The sequence below is a fragment of the Homo sapiens genome, chromosome 22 (genome assembly GCF_000001405.40).
Source record: "Homo sapiens chromosome 22, GRCh38.p14 Primary Assembly".
In the NCBI taxonomy this organism is placed as follows: domain Eukaryota; kingdom Metazoa; phylum Chordata; class Mammalia; order Primates; family Hominidae; genus Homo; species Homo sapiens.
In genome coordinates this window covers 18,930,320-18,948,550 of record NC_000022.11, presented here as the reverse complement: position 1 = coordinate 18,948,550, position 18,231 = coordinate 18,930,320, and the positions used below count along the sequence as shown (strand labels likewise).

The following is an 18,231-nucleotide window of genomic DNA, read 5'->3' as shown; positions in this document are numbered from 1 at the left end:
AATGTGAATGAATTCCTTTGCCTGCAGACAGAGCAAATGTATTGGTAAAAGTAGCTACAGGGCAAGCAGCAAAAATGCAACAAATCAGAATGAATGCAGGGAGCCATGGTTCCAGCACAGAAACAAATATTTCAGGAGTACAGGTAAGAGGCACATGGCAAAAAAGACAACAAAAAAACCTGACTTTGCCAGAGCTCCAATGTCATGCTCATGGCTGAGGAGAAACAATTATCTCGCTGGGAATGAGTGCAAGTGGGAGAATGGAAGGAGTCCTGAGCGGGGCTGACTGCATGTCCGCAGGGGCCCGGACAGGCAGCACAGCGGCCTCTCTACCCTCGAAGGTCTGTTTCTTGTCTGCTTCCTCCTTGGGAGTGGCAGGCCCTGGTGACCGGCCCAACCTCGGGGGCGCCCAGCAGCTGGGTCACCACCACATGCCCAAGTCTGGCCCTCTCAGCTCTGCCTGTCTCCTGAGCTGGAGAACAGACCCCACCCCTCTGTCCCCGGCACTCAACTCCCATCCAGCCGATCTCCCTGAGGACCCCCCCACCGCCAACTCCCACCTGGATCCTCTGGCCCTGGCAGGGCATCATTCTTTCAAAATAATCCATGACTGGGCGCAGTGGCTCATGCCTGAATCCCAGCACTCTGAGAGGCCAAGGTAGGAGGATTGCTTGAGCCCAGGAGTTTCAGATCAACCTGGGTTGTAGGGGTGGGTTGCCCCTACACACCTGTGGGTGTTTCTCGTAAGGTGGGACGAGAGATTTGGAAAAGAAAAAGACACAGAGACAAAGTATAGAGAAAGAAATAAGGGGAACCGGGGAACCAGCGTTCAGCATATGGAGGATCCCGCCAGCCTCTGAGTTCCCTTAGTATTTATTCATCACTTGTGGGTGTTTCTCGAAGAGGGGGATGTGTCAGGGTCACAAGACAATTGTGGGGAGAGGGTCAGCAGACAAACACGTGAACAAAGGTCTTTGCATCATAGACAATGTAAAGGATTAAGTGCTGTGCTTTTAGATATGCATACACATAAACATCTCAATGCTTTACAAAGCAGTATTGCTGCCCGCAGGTCCCACCTCCAGCCCTAAGGCGGTTTTTCCCTATCTCAGTAGATGGAGCATACAATCGGGTTTTATACCGAGACATTCCATTGCCCAGGGACAGGCAGGAGACAGATGCCTTCCTCTTGTCTCAACTGCAAGAGGCATTCCTTCCTCTTTTACTAATCCTCCTCAGCACAGACCCTTGGTGTCGGGCTGGGGGACGGTCAGGTCTTTCCCTTCCCACGAGGCCATATTTCAGACTATCACATGGGGAGAAACCTTGGACAATACCTGGCTTTCCTAGGCAGAGGTCCCTGCGGCCTTCCGCAGTTTTTGTGTCCCTGGGTACTTGAGATTAGGGAGTGGTGATGACTCTTAAGGAGCATGCTGCCTTCAAGCATCTGTTTAACAAAGCACATCCTGCACCGCCCTTAATCCATTTAACTCTGAGTTGACACAGCACACGTTTCAGAGAGCACGGGGTTGGGGGTAAGGTTATAGATTAACAGAATCTCAAGGCAGAAGAATTTTTCTTAGCACATAACAAAATGGAGTCTCCTATGTCTACTTCTTTCTACACAGACACAGTAACAATCTGATCTCTCTTGCTTTTCCCCACATTTCCCCCTTTTCTTTTCGACAAAACCGCCATCGTCATCATGGCCCGTTCTCGATGGTCGCTGTCTCTTCGGAGCTGTTGGGTACACCTGCAGACTAACAACAGACAAAACAGGCACACAAGGATTAATATGAGATTTATAATCGTAGTACTTCCAATGGTCTTAACCCAAGTGACAGGGTTAAGATTTGCGAGGCCATCAGCAACTCCTGCAATTGCCTCAGTTCCTGGCACCAAATTTAAATGGGCTTTTGATGCTTCGAAAATTTGTTCTTTTAATTTGGAAATGTCTAAAGTGAGATTATCTTCTCTTCCCTGTAGATGGCGTCTAACCATGTCCCAGTGATGCTCAGACTCATTATAAATTTGGGGTGTAATACAAAAATCTGACGTATTCCAGTCACATTGTAACTGGAAACGATGTTCTAAGCTCATGAGTCTGTCTCCCATCCAAATGACAGTTTGTCTAAGATCATTAATTTGATTTGCCAATTTTTGATCAATACTAGATTGTGAATTCCACAATCTTGTAGAATTTTTTTGCCAATCATTAACAAAGTTTACTGACTGAACAGAAGAGTGCAATGCAACTCCTGCTACAGCACCCGTAGCTGTGACTGCAATTAATCCCATAATCACTGCAATTAAAGTAAAAATGAATCTTTTGGATCTATTTAAAACACCTTTTAATACTTCAGTCAAAATATGGACGGATGGTGAGGCCTCCCACGGTCGGTCCATGGACACAAGGATCCACACGCCCTCTCTTGCTCTCACCAGCAGAATACGGTGTTGCCAATTAAAAGTTGAATCAATGCAAGTAAGCAATCTACAGTTTTCACAGGTTATAGTCTGGGAGTCTGGTTTAATAACTATATTTCCTACAACTAGCATATAAGGGGGCTTTACGCAACTTTGTAAAGGAAGTGTTAGACTGGAATTTAGGTCGACAGTATAAAATGGCTTACGATCTCTTGTTTCTAAAGTTTGATTTCCAGACCAAATTCTAATGTGGTGTGAGGCCACAGTAAGCCTCCATAATTCTGGATGTTCAGGACCAGAAACAGGACTTATTATTTTTGGTCTTGGGGTAGAGATTCCTTTTTCTCCCCATTCCCAAGGGTAGAAAGACTGCAATTTTTTATGCTTATGTTTGTCTAAACTTTCTGTTAAGTCGCTATCAACAGCTGGACTCACTTGTGCACTTGGACATGACTGAGTTTGTCCTGAGCAATTGTGGTAGAATTGACCTCGAGGTGCCCAATCTATAATAGTTCCGAATTCATTGTTTTGTAATATCACCGCACTATTGGCCACACATTCTTCCCAAACTAAAACTTCTGTATTTTTTGATTCTTTGGGAATTTCCTTGGGGCAAGGTTTCCCTTTAGGTCTAAATTTTAATGATCTTTGATAAGGAAAGTCTTGTAAATAATTTACCCGTGGCCTGAGTGACATCCCGCTTACCATGTGATAAGTGAATCTACTGATGGGACTGACAATAGGTACTTCTACCAACCAATTTTGGACTGCAGGCATTAAACATCCTGGTGCTGTCCCTAAGCAAATAGGAGGATAACGATACCCAATGGAAATATTTATCATCATCCCTTCTTCCTCAGGTTTGGCAGGGCAGCGATCATCTGTGGGGCCAGGTACCCATTCGCTATCATTAACATATACTTCTATAGGATTATCCATCCATGTGACTGGTGTTACCATCTCCGCGGAGGCCCTTTTCTTTGCATCTCCGATGGGTTCATTGTAGAACTTCAAATGTCTAGTGGGTATCCAAACAGGAAGCTGATTTTCTCCTGGTGAAACACAAGCAAAACCTCTCCCCCACGTTATCACCTTCCCTATTTCCCATGTCTTATTTTTATTATCTTTCCACCAAATTAGTTTTCCTTCATGTGGGCTGTTCTTTTTACCAGTAAGATGTTGTTCTGCAGAAGTAGTAGTCTGATTTCTATAAATGTTTAAAAAATTTAAAGTATAGAGTGCTAGATTAAGTTGCATCTGAGGAGTGGTACACTCCTTACTGTCTCCCCCTTCTTTTTGTTTAACTAATTGAGTTTTGAGTGTTCTATTAGTTCTTTCAACTATGGCCTGTCCTTGGGAATTATAAGGAATTCCTGTTGTATGTGAAATTTTCCACTGACTTAAGAATTTTTGGAAAGCTTTACTACAATATCCTGGTCCATTGTCAGTTTTGATTTTTTCTGGAACTCCCATTACAGCAAAACAAGACAATAAATGTTTTTTAACATGGGAAGTACTTTCTCCTGTTTGGCAAGTTGCCCATATGAAATGTGAATAAGTATCAACTGTTACATGAACATATGATAATCTTCCAAATGAAGGTACATGCGTGACATCCATTTGCCATAATGCATTAGGACACAGACCTCTGGGATTAACTCCTGCCTCTTGAGTGGGCAGGTGTAAGACTTGACACTGGGTGCAATGTTGTACAATATCTTTTGCCTGTTTCCATGTGACATCAAATTTGTTTTTTAATCCTGCTGCATTTACATGAGTCAAAGCATGAAGTTCTTGTGCTTTTATGAGTGCAGATGATACCAGTAAGTCAGCTTGTTCATTTGCTTTAGTCAAAGGCCCTGGTAAATTAGTGTGTGCTCGAATATGAGTAATATAAAATGGGAAATTTCTTTTTCTTACAGTTTGTTGTAATAAATTGAATAGCTGGTTTAACTGATCATCCATGCTATATTTAATTAGAGCCGTCTCAACATCCCTTGTAGCCTGTACTACATAGGCAGAATCTGATATAATATTGATAGGTTGGTCAAAATCTTGTAACACTGTAATGACTGCAACCAACTCTGCTCTTTGAGCCGATTGATATGGAGTTTTGATTACTCGTTCTTTCGGCCCTGTGTAAGCTGCTTTTCCATTGCTGGAACCATCAGTAAATACTGTTAGAGCATTTTCTAAAGGTTCACGTCTGGTTATTTTAGGTAGAATCCAAGTAGTCAATTTTAAGAACTGGAAGATCTTTGTTTTTGGGTAATGATTATCAATAATTCCCACAAAATTAGCAAGACCAATCTGCCATGCACCAGAATTGATAAAGGCTTGTCTAACTTGTTCCTTGGTTAAAGGGACAACTATTTTGTCTTGGTCATTTCCACATAATTTTATTATTCGTAATCTTGTCTGACCGATTAATGTAGCCATTTGATCCAAGTACAATGTAAAAGTCTTAACTGTACTGTGAGGAAGGAATGACCACTCCACAAGATCAGTATTTTGAATAATGATGCCTGTTGGAGAATGTGCAGTGGCAAAAATCAAAAGCTGGAGTGGGGCTAAGGGATCTATTCTATTTATTTGCGCTGACTGAATTTTTTCTTCCACTAATTTAATTTCTTTTGTTGCCTCTGGGGTTAATATTCTTTTACTATTTAAGTCTGAGTCTCCTCTTAAGATAGAGAACAAATTTGACATGGCATAAGTAGGAATGCCTAGAGTTGGCCGAATCCAATTAATATCTCCTAGTAATTTTTGAAAATCATTTAGTGTTTTTAATGTATCTTTTCTTATTTCTATTTTTGTGGCTTAATTTTTCTATTTTCTATCTGCATCCCTAAATAATGAAAAGGAGTAGAGGTTTGGATCTTATCAGATGCTATTGCCAGTCCAGCATTGGCAACCTCTGCTTGCAGAAATGTATAACAGTCAATTAATTTATCTTTCGTTTCTGCAGCACATAAAATATCATCAATATAATGAATAATATAACAGTCTGAAAACTTTTCTCTAACTGGTTGAAGAGCTCGACCTACAAAAGTCTGACAAATAGTTGGACTATTAAGCATTCCCTGAGGTAACACTTTCCACTGAAACCTGGTGGCTGGTTCTTTATTATTTATGGCTGGTATAGTAAAGGCAAATTTTTCACAATCCTGCTCTGCCAGAGGGATGGTAAAAAAGCAATCCTTTAGATCAATTATAATTAAAGGCTAATCTTTTGGGATTATGGCCGGAGAGGGCAACCCGGGTTGGAGAGGCCCCATGGGTTGAATTAAGGCGTTTACGGCCCTTAAGTCAGTTAACATACGCCATTTGCCTGATTTCTTCTGAATTACAAACACAGGAGAATTCCAAGGTGAGAACGAAGGCTCAATATGACCCTTTTCTAACTGTTCATTTACTAATAAATGTAAAGCCTCCAGTTTTTGTTTTGGTAGCGGCCACTGATTTACCCACACCGGTTTTTCTGTTTTCCAAGTTAATGGTATGGGTTTAGGAGGCTCTATAGTGGCCGCCCCTAAAAAGGATACCCTATTCCTTCTCTTTTTTGATTTATTTTAGCCTCAAATGGAATTTTAATGCCATCTTCATTTTTCCCTAGTCCCTTTCCTGGTATATATCCCATCTTGGTCATGATTTTTTGACTCGTGGGGCTATATAATGGAGCGGGCATGGTGATTTCCGCACCCCATTGTTGTAATAAATCTCAACCCCACAGATTAAGAGGAATTGAAGTAATCATTGGCTGAACAGTACTTTCTTGATTATCTGGCCCTAAGCAATGTAAAATCTCCGTACTTTGATACACTTCTGAGGCTGTGCCTATGCCGACAAGTCCTGTAACAGCCTTTTGTTTAGGCCAATTTTTTGGCCACTGATTTAAAGCAATGATAGAGACATCTGCTCCAGTGTCTACCAACCCTTCAAACTGTTTTCCTTGAATAATGGCCTTACACACAGGTCTGTTCTCTGAGACCTGACTTGCCCAATATGCAGCCTTTCCTGTTGGATCAGTGCTTCCAAGCCCTCCTATTTTTTTTAGTTCACTATTTCCACCCTTAATATATGGCAGGAGTAATAATTGAGCACTCCTGTCTCCTGGACTGGCACTCCAAGGAATTGAAGAGCTAATAACCAACTGAATTTCGCCTTTATAGTCTGAATCAACCACACTAGTATGAATTTGAACTCCTTTTAGATTTAGACTTGATCTTCCTAAGATTAGTCCTACAGTCCCCTCAGGCAGGGGGCCATATACCCCTGTGGGGATTTTTTGTGGGGGCTCCCCTGGAAGCAGAGAGACTGCTTGTATAGTACATAAATCTACTGCTGCACTGCTGCTTGTGGCAGGGGACAATTGTTGTATTGTGGTAACTGGCTTATTCCCTGAAACACTTGGGACAGTGGGGGTTGTTGTCCCTGAAAACCCTGAGGAACAAATGGCTGAATTGGGAATGCCCCAGTTTGTTGTGGGGCCTGAGGCTGGCCCCTTTGCTCGTTTCCCGACAATGGTTGCCCATTTTTATCAAATTTAGAACGACATTGACTAGCCCAATGTTTTCCTTTTTTACATCTTGGACATAAGTCAGGTGGCTCTCTACCTGTTGTAGTTGCTTGAATAGTTATATTCTGTTTGTTTAAGACTGGGCAATTCTTTTTTAAGTGACCAATTTGACCACAATTATAACATTTTCCTCCAAATGTTCTAACTTGTCCTCCTAAAACAACTCCTGTTATTGCTTGAGCCATAAGCATAGCTTTATGCATAGCTCCTCCGATTCCATCACAGGCTTTTACATATTCTGAGATTACATCTGATCCTGCAGGAACCTTTCCTTTTAATGGCTTAATGGCTGATTGACACTCAGGATTGGCGTTTTCATATGCCATCAACTCCACTATGACCTTACGGGCTTTTTCATCGGCAATTGACTTTTGAGCAACATCTTGGAGCCTTGCCACAAAATCAGGATAGGGCTCTTTTGAACCTTGTCTTACTGTATTAAATGAGGGGCAGGCACTTCCTGGGTCTTGGATTTTTTCCCAGGCTCTAAGGCAGATAGCTCTAACTTGCTCAATGGCCTCATTTTGCATTAATGCTTGTTGACTAATAGTACTCCAATTTTGACCTATTCCTAATAGTTGATCTGCATCTATGTTAACTGGAGGATTGGCAGCCCTATTTCTTCGGACCTGTTCTTGTACCCCATCAATCCACCAAGTCTTAAATTGTAAAAATTGAGAGGGTGAGAGAGACGATTTTGCCAGAATCTCCCAATCATAAGGAATGAGTCTATGTCCATAAGCAATGGAATCTAATAATGTCCTCATATAAGGGGAGTTGGGTCCATACTGTTTTACTCCCTCTTTCATATCTTTTAGCATTTTTATCGAAAAAGACTTGTATCTGGCCTCAACTGTGGGAGGCTCTCCCTCTTGGGCTCCTTCTCCAGGTGGCATCGGTTCTAACGTTACTGGGAATTGCCATGCCTCAGTATCTCCTTCCTTTCTTGATTTATCAATAATTTCATGTAATTCACTACCCTGTCTACTAGGTGGTGCCGTAGGATTAAGTCTCCTAGTGGGCGGCTGAGGGTATGGCGCCCTGCCCTGTGGTGCTGGGGGCATTCCTGGATATCCATACTGACTTTCTGGGGGTGGCCGATACTGAAGTTCAGCCGGAGGCCAGTATTGATAGGCTACTGGCGGTTGGGTCTTATTTTCTTTAACCTGCTTTTGAGGTTGTAATGTTACGGGCACCTGACCTGCTGGAAGAGGACTTGTCCCTCGTGGTTTAGACTCTGATGGCCCCACTAATTCTGGACCTTTTCCTTCTAATTTTAACGTTTCAGGATATATCACCTCCTGTAATTGATTATAGTCAACATTTTGCGTTGACTGAGCCATTACCGGCTCTGCTACATATTCGCAATGTAAACTTTCCGTTTCTTTCTGGGATTTTTTCCTTGTCTTTTCATTACAATCTATTAAACAGCTTCCAGGGGCATCAGAAACTGAAACGCTATCTTCTTCTGTTTGAAATGGTTCTAAAGCTGCTTTAATAATGGCCCAATCATTCCATACTGTAAGTGGAATGATATTACCCTTCCTACCTGCTTGTTTTAGTTCCTTACCAATTCTTTTCCAATCTTTTAGATCTAAAGTTCCTTGTTCTGGAAACCATGGGCAAAATTGTTCTATTATTTGAAATAGCTTGATTAGATTTTTTGTAGATACTTTAACTCCCCCTCTTTTTAAAAGAATTTTAATAAAGCTGAGATAAGAGGCATATTTACTTTTAATTTTACTTTTAGTTTGCCCCATTATCACCCTAGCTTCTTCCGAGCGCACAAGCTTACCGTAAGGCTGACTGTAGACGTACTCGGGATCTCTCGTCGACTTGTCCTCAATGACCACGCTCGAGCGTACCTTCACCCTAGAGAAAAGCCTCCATGTTGGGCACCAGATGTAGGGGTGGGTTGCCCCTACACACCTGTGGGTGTTTCTCGTAAGGTGGGACGAGAGATTTGGAAAAGAAAAAGACACAGAGACAAAGTATAGAGAAAGAAATAAGGGGAACCGGGGAACCAGCGTTCAGCATATGGAGGATCCCGCCAGCCTCTGAGTTCCCTTAGTATTTATTCATCATTTGTGGGTGTTTCTCGAAGAGGGGGATGTGTCAGGGTCACAAGACAATTGTGGGGAGAGGGTCAGCAGACAAACACGTGAACAAAGGTCTTTGCATCATAGACAATGTAAAGGATTAAGTGCTGTGCTTTTAGATATGCATACACATAAACATCTCAATGCTTTACAAAGCAGTATTGCTGCCCGCAGGTCCCACCTCCAGCCCTAAGGCGGTTTTTCCCTATCTCAGTAGATGGAGCATACAATCGGGTTTTATACCGAGACATTCCATTGCCCAGGGACAGGCAGGAGACAGATGCCTTCCTCTTGTCTCAACTGCAAGAGGCATTCCTTCCTCTTTTACTAATTCTCCTCAGCACAGACCCTTTACGGGTGTCGGGCTGGGGGACGGTCAGGTCTTTCCCTTCCCACGAGGCCATATTTCAGACTATCACATGGGGAGAAACCTTGGACAATACCTGGCTTTCCTAGGCAGAGGTCCCTGCGGCCTTCCGCAGTTTTTGTGTCCCTGGGTACTTGAGATTAGGGAGTGGTGATGACTCTTAAGGAGCAGGCTGCCTTCAAGCATCTGCTTAACAAAGCACATCCTGCACCGCCCTTAATCCATTTAACTCTGAGTTGACACAGCACACGTTTCAGAGAGCACGGGGTTGGGGGTAAGGTTATAGATTAACAGAATCTCAAGGCAGAAGAATTTTTCTTAGCACATAACAAAATGGAGTCTCCTATGTCTACTTCTTTCTACACAGACACAGTAACAATCTGATCTCTCTTGCTTTTCCCCACACTGGGTAACACAGCCAGACCCTGTCTCCACAAAAAAATATTTTTTAAAAATTAGCTAGGTGCAGTCCAGCCTGTAGTCCCAGCTACTTGGGAGGTTGAGGCAGGGGGATCACTTGAGCCCAGGTGTCAGGCCTCTGAGCCCAAGCTAAGCCATCATATCCCTTGTGACCTGCACGGATACATCCAGATGGGCTGAAGCAACTGAAGATCCACAGAAGAAGTGAAAATAGCCTTAACTGATGACATTCCACCATTGTGATTTGTTTCTGCCCCACCCTAACTGATCAATGTACTTCATAATCTCCCCCACCCTTAAGAAGGTTCTTGGTAATTCTCCCCACCCTTGAGAAGGTACTTTGTGAGATCCACCCCTGCCCCCAGAACATTGCTCTTAACTCCACTGCCTATCCCAAAACCTGTAAGAACTAATGATAATCCCACCACCCTTTGCTGACTCCTTTTTTGGACTCAGCCTGCCTGCACCCAGGTGAAATAAACAGCCTTGTTGCTCATACAAAGCTGGTTGGTGGTCCCTTCACAGGGACACATGAGACACCAGGAGTTCAAGGCCACAGTGAGCTGTGATCACATGGCTGCACTCCAGCTTGGGCAACAGAGAGAGACCCTGTCTCTTAAAAAAAAAAAAAAAAAAAGCCATCAGCTGGCTCAGGGTAGCCACCTGCCAAGGGTCCCCAGCTGAGCCTAAGACCTGCTTCCTAGGATTTACAGAGCTCCTGTGAAACTCGGTTGTTTCATTGATTGTCACATGGAGCCAGTGACTTTCAGGCCAGCCTTGTTCCCACAGGTGCCCTCACAGGTGGGCTCTCCCGTGGGCCTGGGCACCCAGCGCTAGGCCTGCTCTGCTATGGTCTGGACGTGAGTGGTGATCTCTGTGATCCCTGCACCCCTCGCTTCTCCCCCTGCCCTCTCTGCAGCCCTGCCCCTGGCAGCCCCTGCCCACCTTTGCCTCTGTGCAGGGCCACAGGCTTCCTTGAAGCAAATGCTAGAACTTTGCTTTTTTAAAAAAATATAACAGCTTTATTGAGATATTGAATGGTTTTTTAGTCTATACACAAGGTTGAGCAAACATCACCACTCTCTAGCCCCAGAGTATTTCCGGACCCCAAAGAAACTCCGTGGGCCTTGGCAGCCCCTCCCACTCCTCCCGTCCTCCACCTCCAGGCACCACTGCCAGTGCCATACTCACCAGGCTCCACTATGGGCTTGTCTTCGTGTGACTTCTGTCTCTATCGATTTGTCTATTCTGAACTCTTCATATAAAACGAACCATACAACTTGTGGCCGTTTGTGTCCGGAATCTTTCTTTAAAAAAAAAAATTCACCGGGCGTGGTGGCTCACGCCTGTAATCCCAGCACTCTGGGAGGCGGAGGCGGGCGGATCACAAGGTCAGGAGATCAAGACCATCCTGGCTAACACGGTGAAACCCCGTCTCTACTAAAAACATAAAAAATTAGCCAGGCTTGGCAGGCGCCTGTAGTCCCAGCTACTCTGGAGGCTGAGGTGGGAGAATGGCGTGAACCCGGGAGGCAGAGGTTGCAGTGAGCTGAGATCATGCCACTGCACTCCAGCCTGGGAGACAGAGCAAGACTCCATCTCAAAAAAAAAAAATTCACTTTTATTTTTGAGACAGGGTCTCCCTCCATTGCCCAGGCTGGAGTTCAGTGGCACAATCAGCTCACTGCAGCTTCAACCTCCTGGGCTCAAGCAATCCCCTCACCTCAGCCTCCTGAGTAGCTGGGATTACAGACATGCAACACTATGCCTGGTTAATTTTCTATTTTTTGTAGAGACGAGGTCTTACTATGTTGCCCAGACTGCTCTGGCACTCCTGGGCTCAAAAGATCCTCCTGCCTCGGCCTCCCAAAGTGCTGAGATTACAGGCGTGAGCCACCACACCCGGCTATTTTTATTTTTTAGTTGACACATAATAATTGTACATATTTGTGGGGTACGTAGTGATGTTTCTGTACGTGTATAGTGATCAGATAAGGGTAATTAGCATACCTATCATCTCAAACATTTATTATTTCTTTGCATTACGAACACTCAATATTCTCCTTCAAGCTATCTGAAAATACATAATTTTTGTTTTGAGACAGGGTCTCACTCTGTTGCTGTCTTCACGGAGAGCAGGAGCAGAGGCTTTGAGAAGCCAGTGGGCCTTGGCCTCAGCCCTGCCGGCAGAGGGTCCCCACCATGCAGCTGAAGTGCCAGGGTGCTTGTGAAGTCTAAGCCCTTGTCTGGCATTTGTCAGGAATATAGGGTGAGGCCTCTGGGACCGAGCGGGGCGGGGCGGGGCGGGGCGGGGCGGGGCGGGACCAACAGCGCACACTTAAGCGGCCCGGGCGGGTACCGCCGTCCCGCCATGGCTCTGAGGCGCGCCCTGCCCGCGCTGCGCCCCTGCATTCCCCGCTTCGTCCCGCTGTCCACGGCGCCGGCCTCCCGCGAGCAGCCCGCAGCGGGCCCAGCGGCCGTGCCAGGAGGTGGGTCGGCCACGGCAGTGCGGCCGCCGGTGCCCGCCGTGGACTTCGGCAACGCGCAGGAGGCGTACCGCAGCCGGCGAACCTGGGAGCTGGCGCGGAGCCTGCTGGTGCTGCGCTTGTGCGCCTGGCCCGCGCTGCTGGCGCGCCACGAGCAGGTGCGCGGGGTGCAGGCGGGGGCGCGGGGGCTTCTGCCGGTCCCGGGAGCCTTTACGGAGCTTCCTGGCCTGAAACGGGTGCCTCCCAAGCATCTCCTGGAGCAAGGGAAGCCAGGAAGGGAGGCGTTTCCTGCAGTCCCTCTCGGACCTCGCAAATTTTCCTATTTGTCGATGTCTACCAACTAAAAACAATGGTCGTTTTCATATTTACGATATATACCACTTGTGGGAATACAGAGTTATCACTTGGAATTTAAAATGGAGTATTCTTCATGTTGAGACAAGAGAATCCTGGTGTAGGGCTCATAGCCTGGAACCCCGGAATTCAAACCCCGGGACCCAGCAGCTTCCCAGACACGGCCACTCTGAGAACACTGTTGGGGAAAAATGGGAAGCCCCTCAAACGCCCAGCTTTGAACTCACCCATGGTAGCTTTAAAAAGTGTCAGGGCTTTTGGTGGCGGTGGTGGGGGGCAACAAGCAGAACACTGTTTTAGCCGCATCAGCCTAGGGGTACTAGAGATGACGGTTATCTCCAGGTGACCCTGGGAAGAGTTTGCAAGGTTCCGCTTTTTGGCGCCAGGGTATCTGGTGGTGTTGATTTCTCAGGTGAGACTGTACAGAGGTCGGGGGCTGCACCCCTGGCCTCAACAGGAGGCGGGGGAAGGCGGGGGACGGTGTCAGATGAGAAGCACCGAGCCACAGTTGAGCTTAGGTGAGGCCTCGGCGGGTGCGAGGTGAGGGCAGGGATCCACGAACTCAGAGTCAGATGCTGTTGGCCCGAATCCCATGGGGAGCGCCAAGGTCAGCCTAGGACCCGTGGTGGCGGGAGTGCGGAGGATGGTGGAGGAAGAAGGAGCTGAACTGGACAGATGGAGGGCTCTGGGAGGGCATTGCTGTGTGTGCACACAAGGATGTCTTAAGGTCAAGTTTTGGTCATAGAGAGCCCCGGCCAAGGAGACAGGAGGGCGAGAAGGGACATCCCAGGTAGAGGAACTGGCAAGGTGAGGGACGGCGATGTGGAGGCTTTGGGGAGTGCCCACATCTAAGGGGCATCCCAAAAGAGGAGCCAGTGCTGGTGGTGCTGCAATAGGAGGAGGAGGCAGCAGGGCAGAAATGCCAGGGGAGGGAGTGGCCAGCCACAGGTCCCTGCCCAGGGCAAGGACGGGCATGCTAGGTGGCAGCTGGGGCCAGTCGTGCAGAAGCCATGCCCACCTTGTGGCCGGGATGGAGTGGGGACTAGGAAGGCACCAGGTCAGGTTTCTGTAGGCACAGCCCTAAGCATGGCTGGGATGGGGAGGGGGCTAGGAAGGCACCAGGTCAGGTTTCTGTAGGCACAGCCCTAAGGTTTCTTGTCTAGATTCAAGACAAGTTGTTGCACAGAGAAGCCAGCAGAGCTGGGTGTGGGGTTTGGTGCCCAGTCTGCTGCGGGGAATGCCAGGTGCTGTTCCGTGACTGTGGGAGGAAACTGTTGGCTCCGCTGTCCCTTGGGTGCCTTCTTGAGGCAAGTGCCAGGGCTCAGGGATGGTGCTGTGAGTACCTGGAAGAGGCAGGGCATCCAGAGGTGACCTCTCCCAGGCTCCCCTAGGGTCCCACCTGTGCCCTGGGAAGTCCCTCAGTGGGGTCTGTACTGTTGTCTTGCTAGTGGTCCCATGGGTGTCGGCAGCCTCAGCACTGGAAGAAGGCAGAGGCCAGGTCCTGGGCTTGTGAGCTGCTCACTAGAACCTGGTCCTGTGAGCGGGCCAGAGGGGAGTTCCTTCCCTCACCCTCTGGGCTGTGGGGAGATTCCTTCTGCTGAGCCAGCACAGGTCTGTGAGGCACCCGGGCAGTGAGGCCACATCTGCCACAGGCGTGTCAGGTTGTAGTAGCTGATCTTTGAGCTGCTGCCTTGGATGGGGACAGCAGTGGGGCCCGCCCTTGCCTGAAAGCCAGACTTATTGAGGAGGGTTTAGGAAAGTCCCAGGATTTCCATGACAACAGCACTGAGGTTGGGTGTGCGCCCTCACAGAAGGGACAGGACCCGTGGTGACAGTGGTTCCCTGAGTGGGGGGAGGGGAGAGAACCGGCTCTACCAGTGTTACTCTGCACACATTTGGTTGAGTCTTTCACAGGGGGTACAAGTGTATGTGTTACTGGTGCAGGTTTCTAAATCCTCGAAGGATCTCCTCACCTGAAGAAGATGTGGGGCTGCCCTGGTCTCAGGTAGTGCCATGCGGGGACATCAGTGACACCAGGATGGTGTTAAAGTGGTTGCTTTGCTGTGGAGTCAGCTTTAAAATTACAAGCCCTAGGCTCATGCCTAGGCATGGTGGCTCATGCCTGTAATTCTAGCACTTAAGGAGGTCAAGGCAGGAGGATCATTTAAGGCTAGGAGTTCAAGACCAGCCTGAGCAACATCGTGAAACCCTGTCTCTACAAAATATTTTTAAAAGTTAGCTGGGGCCAGGTGCGGTGGCTCATGCCTGTCATCCCAGCACTTTGGGTGGCCGAGGCGGGTGGATCACCTGAAGTCAGGAGTTTGAGACCAGCCTGGCCAACATGGAGAAACCCCATCTCTACTAAAAATATAAAAATTAGCTGGGCATGGTGGTGTGCGCCTGTAATCTCTGCTACTTGGGAGGCTGAGGCGGGAGAATCGCTTGAACCTGGGAGGTGGAGGTTGCAGTGAGCCGAGATTGTGCTACTGCACTCCAGCCTGGGCAACAAGAGCAAAACTCTGCCTCAAAAAAAAGAAAAAATAAAAGTTAGCTGAGTGTGGTGGTGCATGCCTGTAGTCCCAACTACTCTGGAGGCCGAGATAGGAGTGTCGCTTGAGCCCAGGAGTGAGACCCTGCCTCTAAAAATAAATAAATAAAAAACTTGCCAGCCCTGCCTGTGTGCTTCTGCAGCCCTGTGCAGGGAGCTTCCACCCTCAGCCCGGGCCCAGTCCCCCAGCCCCCCATCTTTGTGAATAAGCATCCCTGGAGTCAGTGCAGCCTGGGCTCCCGCCCCTTCATTTAGTGCTGGCCGTGCGGAGGCGAGCAGTTAGGTAGAGGGAGACTGCGTGGCCCCGTGCGGCAGTCGACAGTTGCCCACCCTCCCTCCTGTTGTTTTCTGATGGTTCTCTCAGAGCGGATGTGGATAAGCCCAGTGATGGTGTTCAGGTCCCCAGTTCTGCCCCGCCTGCCACTTGGGTGATCTTTGATATGTTTCAGACCCATCCTGTTCTCCCAACTATCCCTGGGTGCTGCCAGCAGGAATGAGGCCTGGCTCAGGCTCAGTGGGAGACGGAGAACATGTCAGCCTGTTCATTTTCCAGTTTCTAATCCTCTTGATAAAAGAACAAAATGCCTTAAAGTCAGATTCTGCTTGGAGGCTGCAGGAAGGCAGGGGTGAGTGCCTGGGAAACCCTGGTCCTTGGGGCTGCCCCATGGCGTGCCCAGGGGTGATGGTCAGGAGGCGTCTCCATGGGGCACCAATGTTCAGGGTAAGGCTGTGGGGCTATGTCTGCCTGTGGGCAGGCGTGTGGGTGCTCAGGGCTGGCTTGGGTGTAAGTGTTTGACTCGCTAATGGTTTTGCTTAGACTAGAAGTTGTTCCTGAAACTACGGTCTCAAGAGATGCTCCCCACATAAAAGGAGTTCTAGTATCCATTGGGTTTGAGAAACCCCAGGCTCTTCCTGTGTTGGGGCTGAGTCGGCAGGGGCAGCAGACACAACGCGGAGGTGTGCTTCTGAGCATCACACTCGGCCCTCCTCTCCAAGTAGCCTCTCGTTGTCCCTGTCCTTTCTGCCCTGGCTGTCCCCCGTGCTGGAGCTCCCACAGTTGTCCATGCCATCTCCTCGCCTTGGCAAGCCCCACTCCTGGATCTGGGTTAGTAAACACCCCTGCCCTACCCTGCAGGCACTGCCCCATCCCCCTGTCCTGAGTCATAGGCAGAGTCCCTCCTTCCCCTTTGGGGTTCCTTTACCACCAGGATGTGAGATCCTGGTCGGTTTCCTTTGGTTGTTTCCAGTCTATAAAAGGTGCTTGGTGCATGGCAGCTTGGGACATCTGAATGAGCGACGTGGTGAAATATGATTGGAGGAGACAGACAGTTCCCGGGCAGCATCTGTCAGAGTGGCTGGTCAGCCCCAGATGACCCTGCAGAGCGCATGGGTCCTGGGGTGGGAGTCATCTCACAGGCCCCTGTGGACTGTCATCTAGCTCATTGTCCTTGTTGCCAGGGCATGCCTCCCTCCAGCTGGGCGCAGACTCAGCCTGAGTTTCACACGTTTGTTATTTAGCATCCATTCGGGGGCTGGCCTCATGCCAGTCACACTGTTTAAGGGACTTGGGATAAGAGGGAACAAAACATTGAAAAATCTGGGCACTCAAGTACTAGAAAGTCAAGTTAGATCCTCCTCTTCCGCAGCAGAACTACCAAGGTGTGGATACAGAGGATGGTCTCAAAATGCCGGCTGTCATCCCCAGGGAGGCTGGCCATTCTCCTTTTTATCCACCAAGCAGTGGTCAGGCACCCACTGTGTGCTGCTGGAGTGACTCATGGGTGGGGCCCTGAAGGGGCAGAGTCCAGGTGGGAACAGTGTCCTCAGGCCAAGCAGGCAGCACCTCCTGTGGTCTCTCTGCCCTGGATGGGAACTGGAGTGATGGACAGGGTGGAGAAGCAAGCGGCTTTAGCTGGTCTTCACCATGAAACTGACCCTGAAAGCCCAGTCGCCAAGAGACCATATCGAGGCCCCATGGCTGGGGTGAAGTGTGGTCGGGGATGAGCAGCGGTGCCTTGCTGGGAAAGGAGAGTTCAGGCAGCCCAGGACAGCGGCTTCCCTTTGCCTTTCAGCTGCTGTATGTTTCCAGGAAACTTCTAGGACAGAGGCTATTCAACAAGCTCATGAAGATGACCTTCTATGGGCATTTTGTAGCCGGGGAGGACCAGGAGTCCATCCAGCCCCTGCTTCGGCACTACAGGGCCTTCGGTGTCAGCGCCATCCTGGACTATGGAGTGGAGGAGGACCTGAGCCCCGAGGAGGCAGAGCACAAGGAGATGGAGTAAGGCCTGCCCGGTGTCTGCGGGCTTTCTGATCATGACCCTGGAGCACCCAGTGGGAGCAGGTGGGATGTATCCAGCTGCTGGGCTTCAGCCTCAGCTGGGCAGAGGCCAAGGCTAGGAGAGCTTGGTCAGCCCAACTACCGATGACCCTCCTGGGCTCTGCCTGGAGTTCTTGCATTTTTGTTTCATGCGGTGGACAGCTCTGGGCTTTCATGGGAGGCCTGGTGTGCGTGAGGCCTGAGGAAGCAGAGTACAGAATGGCCCTTGGCCCTATCTAGTCCACCGCCTGGAGGAGCACAGGCACCAGCATATGAACCAAGCACTCTGCAAAGAATGGTTGGTCTCGCCTGGATCTCACATGAGCCAGGGACTGCTCCAGGAAGTGGAGGGAAACGTGGTCTTGTTGTTCTGTCCTGATGCCCTGCCCAGGAGGGCGGGTCAGGGTGGTACCAACTGCCCTCTACACTCACTGCCCAGGGAAGGGGCCTTGTATCAGCTTAGTGGCCTCCAGGAGCTGACTCCAGGCCGGCCTGCTACACTGCTCCTGGCTTCAATTCCCTTCTCCACTGACAATGGGGCAGGGGCCAGGCCTGGGAGGTTCCACAACTGCAGGGCAGGCTGAGGCCAGGCAAGGGTCGGGCAGTGGGACCTGCCTGCGGGTCAGGAATC

General features: G+C 48.7%; 1 protein-coding gene and 1 long non-coding RNA gene across 5 annotated transcripts in view, besides 12 other annotated features; one reads left to right on the top strand and one right to left on the bottom strand.

The window, feature by feature from the left end:
- Positions 568-1,313: an enhancer, noted in NCBI's record as "OCT4-NANOG-H3K27ac-H3K4me1 hESC enhancer chr22:18934751-18935496 (GRCh37/hg19 assembly coordinates)". NCBI's record gives its function as "activates a minimal SCP1, AML or CMV promoter by ChIP-STARR-seq in naive H9 embryonic stem cells {active_cell/tissue: H9 hESC(naive)}" and the evidence as "EXISTENCE:reporter gene assay evidence [ECO:0000049][PMID:30033119]".
- On the bottom strand, positions 792-12,128 carry LOC122455341 (uncharacterized). Of its 2 annotated transcripts, NR_173080.2 has the most exons (4): positions 11,903-12,128; positions 11,084-11,199; positions 8,802-8,878; positions 792-1,760 (listed from the first exon to the last, which is right to left on the bottom strand). It is a non-coding gene; the product is annotated as an uncharacterized LOC122455341 (long non-coding RNA). The 2 variants fall into 2 exon arrangements; NR_173081.1 differs by lacking the exons at positions 11,084-11,199; positions 11,903-12,128 and having other exon boundaries at positions 858-1,760; positions 8,802-9,082.
- Positions 8,814-9,878: an enhancer, noted in NCBI's record as "hsERV region present in the LTR+ construct but absent in the LTR- construct". NCBI's record gives its function as "activates the PRODH promoter in transfected Tera-1 cells" and the evidence as "EXISTENCE:reporter gene assay evidence [ECO:0000049][PMID:24218577]".
- Positions 8,814-12,028: a promoter, noted in NCBI's record as "PRODH upstream region including the hsERVPRODH element". NCBI's record gives its function as "drives expression of the PRODH gene in transfected Tera-1 cells; is cytosine methylation-sensitive" and the evidence as "EXISTENCE:reporter gene assay evidence [ECO:0000049][PMID:24218577]".
- Positions 8,814-12,276: a biological region, named in NCBI's record as "human-specific endogenous retroviral insert PRODH enhancer". NCBI's record gives its function as "regulatory_interactions: PRODH".
- Positions 8,910-9,877: a mobile genetic element.
- Positions 9,161-9,192: a protein binding site, noted in NCBI's record as "SOX2, site 1 oligonucleotide". NCBI's record gives the evidence for it as "EXISTENCE:protein binding evidence [ECO:0000024][PMID:24218577]".
- Positions 9,192-9,699: an enhancer, noted in NCBI's record as "OCT4-NANOG-H3K27ac hESC enhancer chr22:18926365-18926872 (GRCh37/hg19 assembly coordinates)". NCBI's record gives its function as "activates a minimal SCP1, AML or CMV promoter by ChIP-STARR-seq in naive H9 embryonic stem cells {active_cell/tissue: H9 hESC(naive)}" and the evidence as "EXISTENCE:reporter gene assay evidence [ECO:0000049][PMID:30033119]".
- Positions 9,561-9,855: an enhancer, noted in NCBI's record as "tiled region #122; HepG2 Activating non-DNase unmatched - State 3:PromF". NCBI's record gives its function as "activates a minimal TATA promoter and a strong SV40 promoter by Sharpr-MPRA in HepG2 cells {active_cell/tissue: HepG2}" and the evidence as "EXISTENCE:reporter gene assay evidence [ECO:0000049][PMID:27701403]".
- Positions 9,561-9,855: a silencer, noted in NCBI's record as "tiled region #122; K562 Repressive non-DNase unmatched - State 22:ReprW". NCBI's record gives its function as "represses a minimal TATA promoter and a strong SV40 promoter by Sharpr-MPRA in K562 cells {active_cell/tissue: K562}" and the evidence as "EXISTENCE:reporter gene assay evidence [ECO:0000049][PMID:27701403]".
- Positions 9,655-9,691: a protein binding site, noted in NCBI's record as "SOX2, site 2 oligonucleotide". NCBI's record gives the evidence for it as "EXISTENCE:protein binding evidence [ECO:0000024][PMID:24218577]".
- Positions 11,998-18,231, top strand: part of PRODH (proline dehydrogenase 1) — a 23,773-nt gene continuing 17,539 nt past the window's right edge. The window contains exons 1-2 of one of the 3 annotated variants that reach the window (NM_001195226.2): positions 11,998-12,161; positions 17,353-17,561. In NM_001195226.2, coding sequence (NP_001182155.2) covers positions 17,404-17,561 — 158 coding nt within the window. In that variant the 5' untranslated portion in view covers positions 11,998-12,161; positions 17,353-17,403. Of the gene's footprint in view, positions 12,162-12,257; positions 12,537-17,352; positions 17,562-18,231 lie in introns of those variants that run through there. The other 2 variants (NM_001368250.2, NM_016335.6) reach the window with 2 other exon arrangements.
- Positions 12,042-12,276: a transcriptional cis regulatory region, noted in NCBI's record as "230 bp fragment that overlaps the internal CpG island (CpGPRODH)". NCBI's record gives its function as "reinforces hsERVPRODH enhancer activation of PRODH in transfected Tera-1 cells" and the evidence as "EXISTENCE:reporter gene assay evidence [ECO:0000049][PMID:24218577]".
- Positions 12,181-12,215: a direct repeat.